Source organism: Homo sapiens, chromosome 3, assembly GCF_000001405.40.
Source record: "Homo sapiens chromosome 3, GRCh38.p14 Primary Assembly".
NCBI classification, from domain to species: Eukaryota; Metazoa; Chordata; class Mammalia; order Primates; family Hominidae; genus Homo; species Homo sapiens.
The window spans coordinates 134422549-134428548 of NC_000003.12; the positions used below are offsets into that span (position 1 = coordinate 134422549).

General features: G+C 50.4%; 2 annotated features.

Moving 5' to 3' along the window:
• Positions 4359 to 5558: an enhancer, noted in NCBI's record as "BRD4-independent group 4 enhancer chr3:134145749-134146948 (GRCh37/hg19 assembly coordinates)". NCBI's record gives its function as "activates an origin of replication core promoter dependent on BRD2, P300/CBP, MED14 and CDK7 cofactors, and independent of BRD4, by STARR-seq in HCT116 cells {active_cell/tissue: HCT116}" and the evidence as "EXISTENCE:reporter gene assay evidence [ECO:0000049][PMID:35650434]".
• Positions 4683 to 5428: an enhancer, noted in NCBI's record as "H3K4me1 hESC enhancer chr3:134146073-134146818 (GRCh37/hg19 assembly coordinates)". NCBI's record gives its function as "activates a minimal SCP1, AML or CMV promoter by ChIP-STARR-seq in primed H9 embryonic stem cells {active_cell/tissue: H9 hESC(primed)}" and the evidence as "EXISTENCE:reporter gene assay evidence [ECO:0000049][PMID:30033119]".

Sequence of the window (6000 nt, forward strand, 5' to 3'; positions counted from 1 at the left end):
CCCCCTAGAAACTGAGCAGATGCCAGCACCATGCTTCCTGTAAAGCCTGCAGAACCATAGGCCAAGTAAACCTCTTTCTGTATAAATTACCTAGCCTGAGATGTTTATTTATAGCAACATAAGAATGGCCTAATACACCTGGGTTCTTAAGAAGATGAATAGAAAAGCTGGAGGGTGGGGTGGAAATCATGAGGTTGTGTCCCACTTCCTGCAAGAAAAAGCCTATGTCCCTTGATCCTACATTCAAGGCCCTTTCTCTCCCAGAAAAGCCATCCTTTCTAGCCCTGGCCACTTTCCCTGTACTAATTAATCTCACTTCTGCCTGTGGACACCTCTGCTCTCAGGACTACTGTCTCCTGGGCCTCACTGCCACTACCTCTGCCTCTGTGTGAAGCCCCTTCCCAGGTGTGTCTGGGCCCCTCTCCTCTCAGCCTGCACCCAGGAAGCTGTTTCCTCTCCCCAGACAGTGGACGTCTCCCTGGCAAGCCTCTGCAGCCCTGAACTGTCCTGACCTTCAGGGTCCAGTTCTTGGAAGGCTCAGGACTGCCATTTGAATTGGGATTATCCCTGGGAGCCCAAACATCTGGTCATCTCCAGAAGGCCACTCACTCTGGGGCAAGGATGGAGCTAGCAGTATGTCAACTGTGATGTGGGGTGTCACATCTGGCTCTGTCCCATCTGCCTGGCTGGGGTTTGCCCCTACGGAGGGTGTTTTGTGTTGCCTGATGGAAGAGGGATGTCCACCAACCAGGCTCAGAGCAGCATCAGGCCCCCCCTGATGTGGGTGTCAGATTACAGCCACAACAGATGGCATTGGCTCAGCTCCCAGGGATCCCCAGTCCACAATGCAAGTCACCTAATCCCTAGTCTGCCATGCAAAGCAAAGGTGGAGCAGAGGGCAAGGGTGGGCAGTGAAGGGCACTATTCAAGGGTGCACCCATCAGGTGTGGGCGAGAGGTGTGTTCCCCAAGGAAGCTGCCTCATGCTAAGCACTCTCATGGGGACAGCATCTTCACACTATGCAGGGAGCTGCTGACAGGGCCCTAGACACCAGAGACCCTGCTAAGGATACTGATCCAAGGGAAAAGGCGTCAGTCAGGTTCATTGGCAGAAACATAAGCCATATGGAAGAAAAATGGGCTTGAAAGAAAAATGTAGAGCCAGTTCACTTCTGAAATGGAGAGCAAGGACTATCCAGCATGGGGAAAAAAGCAAGGGAATACACTCAGTTCTGTCTTCTGTCCAGTGCAGTAGAGTGATAAAGAGAGAATGACAGGAAAGGGAAGAGGAGGCAAGAGCTACCTGCAGGGACATGGGGATGGCTTGAGGGAGGCCACCCAGAATGCTTCTGGCCTGGCCCCTGCTCCCCTCTCTGTTGCGTCTTCCTTCCCCATACAATCCCCCTTTGCCCTTGCCTCAATGTTCATCTTTGTCCCCACTGTGGTCAGGCCTCTCTGCCTCTGGTTTAGCCCACCCCAGTTCCACTATGCCCCTGTGTGACAAAGGTCCATATGAACTAGCTGGACTTTGGGCACTATATACAGACGTAGGGGAAAGATGGAATTCAGTGCACAAGTCCTCTGGCTCAGGTCCATGATCACAAAGAAGATCATGTTTTAGCATCTCAGAGTTGCAAGGGATTTCAGCCTTCATCTAGTTGAAGCCTTCATCTTACAGATGAGAAGGCTGGAGCTCAAGGGCTCAGGGACTGCCCCAGATCCTCAGGTCCTGCTGGCACACTCTTCCTCACCACTGCAGAGCATTGGGATCTGTCTAGGGGCAGCTGTAACAGTGGGTATCATCTGCCCTTGCTTCTCAGCATGTCCTTGAACTGCTCTCTCTCTTTGTGGGGAAAGATGGCAGAGAGTCCTGGGTTCAAATCTGATCTCTGACAGTTACTTGCTGAGTGACCTTGAGCAAGACACTTGCCCTCTCGGAGCCCAAACCTCCTCACTCTAAAAAAGAGAACTTACCTTTACAATAGTGTGGTAAAGACCAGATGAAATAATGTTCATGGATAAGGCAGATGACATGGAGGGAAGAAGTGGAAGAAGATCCCTCTCAAAAAAGTTATCATGATGATTTTATTTATCTATTCACTGAATGACTGTTGACTAAACTCTAAACTGCTATGTGCTAGGCTCAGCAGTACATTAGACCTACAGAAATATCATTGTGAATTTACATTCCATTGGAGCAGACAGTTAACAAGTAAATCAGTAGATGCATATATAATCTGACACTCAGAGGTGAAAAGCGTTATGGAAAATGGGACAGAGAGAGGGAGAGAGATTGTAGGAAAGTGCCTGGTAAATTACCGGGCCCCATGTAATTGATTCCTCTTGTTGTATGTTGCCTGGCACTTAGTAGGTGCTCAAAAAATGCTAATTTCTTTCTCTTCTTGCCTATATTTCTTATTTCCATCTTCCCTACGTAACTCAATGCCCATTGCTACTCCCAGGCTTCCCACATCCCCTCTGAGGGCCTCACGGTTCTACCCGGCAATCCACCCTTCTATGCTGCATGCCTTCTCACGCTGTCTCTTGAAGATCCTGGGCCTGGCACTGAGCACTCAGGGACAGTAGGCCCTCTGCCATAGTAAGAAGTGTAGTAATGGCAGGAGGGACGGCAAGGAAGCAAATGCACACCGGGCAGTGCTGAGACATTCCTTTCGGTGTGAGGGCAGGTGCTTCCTTCCTGGGGCCTTGCCCATTCCCTGCCCTCTGGGGAGAGACACAGCTTTCAGTTAAGAAAATGGAAAGATTTTCTGAAAACACCACACCAGCGATCAAGGATCAATCCTCTCTTCCAAAGTTATTTGCAATAATGAAATATAACATCATTAATTTGTTTTACCCACCAGAGAGTATAAAAAAATTTCCCAAATATAAAGAAACCTCTGTGTGTGTGTGTGTGTGTGTGTGTGTATTTTAAAGACAAGGAAAGAAAATTTAAGCTGTACATCATTATTTTTTTTTTTTGAGACAGAGTTTCACTCTTGTTGCCCAGTCTGGAGTGCAATGGTGCGATCTCGGCTCACTGCAACCTCCATCTCCCAGGTTCAAGAGATTCTCCTGCCTCAGCCTCCCGAGTAGCTGGGATTACAGGCGTACACCACCACACCCAGCTAATTTTTGTATTTTTAGTACAGACAGTGTTTCACCATATTGGTCAGGCTAGTCTCAAACTCCTGGCCTCAGGTGATCTGTCCACCTTGGCCTCCCAAAGTGCTGGGATTACAGACGTGAGCCGCCACGCCTGGCTCATCGTATTTGTATATATATGTGCTCTGTCCCATTTTACTCTCTTGCTTAAGTATGGATAGCTCTCGGTGTGAGTTGCTTGTCTAGTCTGTTAAGAGTTCAGGTTAAAGCCAGGTGCAGTGGCTCACACCTATAATCCCCGCACTTTGGGAGGACGAGGTGGAAGGATCTTTGAGCCCAGGAGTTTGAGACCAGCCTGGGCTACATAGTGAGGCCCCATCTCTACAAAAAATAATAAAAAATTTAGCCAGGCATGGTGGCACGTGCCTGTAGTCCCCGTTGCTCAGGAGGAGGTGGGAGGATCGTTTGAGCCTGGGAGGTCAAGGCTACAGTGAGCCATGATAGTGCCACTGCACTCCAGCCTGGGTGACAGAGTGAACCACTGTCCCAAAAACAAACAAACAATAGTTCAAGTTAAGGAATGTCCTTGATTAGCTCCTGCTTGGGGTTTCAGAGGAATAGCTTACTTTGTCTGAGAAGAGCCTAAAGCAGCCTTCCTTCTATGGCAAAGCCTCCCTTTTACCTTTTTCTTCTTTTGGGGGCCCCCTCTAAGCTCTCTCTGAGGCAGGCCCTTAAAACTCATCTCTCAGCAAGGCTGGGTGCTGGCACTGGAGACTACATAGAGGTGATAAGACAGAGACTCCTAACTCAGTAAGCTCACAGGGAGACCTCCCACCTTGGAAAGACAAGGCCTTCTTTCAGGTTCAGCTCACACTTTCACTGCCAGTGTGACCTAGGCCTCAGTTTACCCATTTGTTAAATGAGGAGGCTGGCCTACATTAGCCTTCCTCCGGGTGTCAGTCATGTACAGTAGTCCCATATGATGCTCCAGGGACCATACTTTGGCCAGTAGGTTCGCAAGTCACTGACGCCTGTGGGAGCATCCTGGGAAGCCCACAGGCTGCATTGCACCCAGGTCAAAGCTGGGGCTGCTCACTCTAGCTGGAACACAGAGCCCTTTACTGCTGAGTGCCTGCAGGCAGCCTTCTGGGAAAAGCCAGCTGTGGATTTCTAAAGGACTTTCCCAGGCAAAGATGCCTGGGATAAGAGAAAAACAGGATGGTGAAAGCACCATCCCAGGGATGTGAGGGATGGAGCAGCCTCTCTGACCCGAGACCTGTGGTTGCATCCCTGCCTACACTGAGCTGCTCCAGCTGCATCAGGCCTGACTTTGCAGGCTGGTGGTTAAGTGGGTAGACGGGTCTGGACGCACAGCCACTTCTGGTCATCCACAGCGATGAGCAAGCGGGAGTTTCACTGCGGCTGCCTCTGACACCGTGCTTCATCCCAACCTTTCTCACAGCCTCCCTCAGTGTTTCCAAGATTCCCTGGGGTGAGTGAGACTCATGGTGAAGCTCAGACTCTACCATGGAGGGCAGGCCTGCCTCACCTGGGGGCCTCCCTGAAGGGGTCACAAGGAGGTCTGAGGGCAAATACATCTCCTTGGCTGGCTCCTAGAAATGAAAGAGGGGCAGGATGATCAGAGGAGTAGAATTTGACTTCCTGGTCCCTCCCTGTCCTCCCTCAAGAAAGAGGTGACAAATGAAGCATTCTTGGGGAAGGAGAGAAAGTCCACAGTGACTGAGGTCTGAGGGCAGGGCTGAGACAGTGGTGGTGGAGATGGCGACCTCAGCCCTCCACACGTGCAGTGTCAGGGCCTCGGAGCCCAGCTGGCAGGCCACAGGAGACAGCGGGAGGTCTGGCTGGAGTGGAGACTGAGTCATCTGGGACTGCAGGGTCCAACGGAGTCACGCCTGTGAGTGATGAGCACCTTGACTGAGGCCAACGTCACAGACGTGTCTGGGAAGTGAGTCAGGGACCCGCAGAGTAGGAGTCTCAACATTCCTGGGAACAGCTTCCTCTGACTGTCCTGCCGTGATATGTTTTCTCCCCTAAGTGGCCTCAAAGGGTTGCTGGCTTTGCCATTGACATTTCTACAGCAAAATGAGCTAGTGAGCACTGGAGTTCAAAGGACATGGTGCAACTTTCAAACCAAATTCTCGTGGGATTTCAGAGGCTGATTACCCTCCCCTCCCTCCCTCCCTCCCTCCTTTCTAGCATGTCGATATTCATCTGTCAAATATTTATCGAGCAGCCACTCCGTGCCAGGTACTGTGGACTGGAGTCATGGTGATGGATAAGACACATGCCTGTGCCTTCCTTCCAGTCCCTGTCTTCACACACCCTGTAGTCTGGGGCAGGGGGACACTAAACAATCACACAAATAATTGCCTGCAATTTGCTGTGAATGATGAATGCATAGTTCAGGGGGCTCTGAATGTATCTAACGGGGGTCCTGGCAGGATCTGGAGGGCCAGGGAGGACTTCCCTGAGGAAAGTCCCCGTAAGAAGGGCTGGGCACAGTGGTTCACACCTGTAATCCCAGCACTTCGGGAGGCTGAGGTGGGTGGATCACCTGAGGTCAAGAGTTCAAGACCAGCCTGACTAACATGGTGAAATCCCATTTCTACTAAAAATACAAAAAATTAGCCAGGCATGGTGGTGCATGCCTGTAATCCCAGCTACTCAGCAGGCTGAGGCAGGAGAATCGCTTGAACCTGGGAAATGGAAGTTGCAGTGAGCCAAAATCGCAGCATTAGACTCCAGCCTGGGCAACAAGAGTGAAAATTCATCTCAAAATAAATAAATAAATAAAGTCCATGTAAGAGGAGATTGAGAGGGTAGAAAGTTCACCAGGGAGGAGTATTTCAAGTAGAAGAAACAGAAGAAGCTGAGA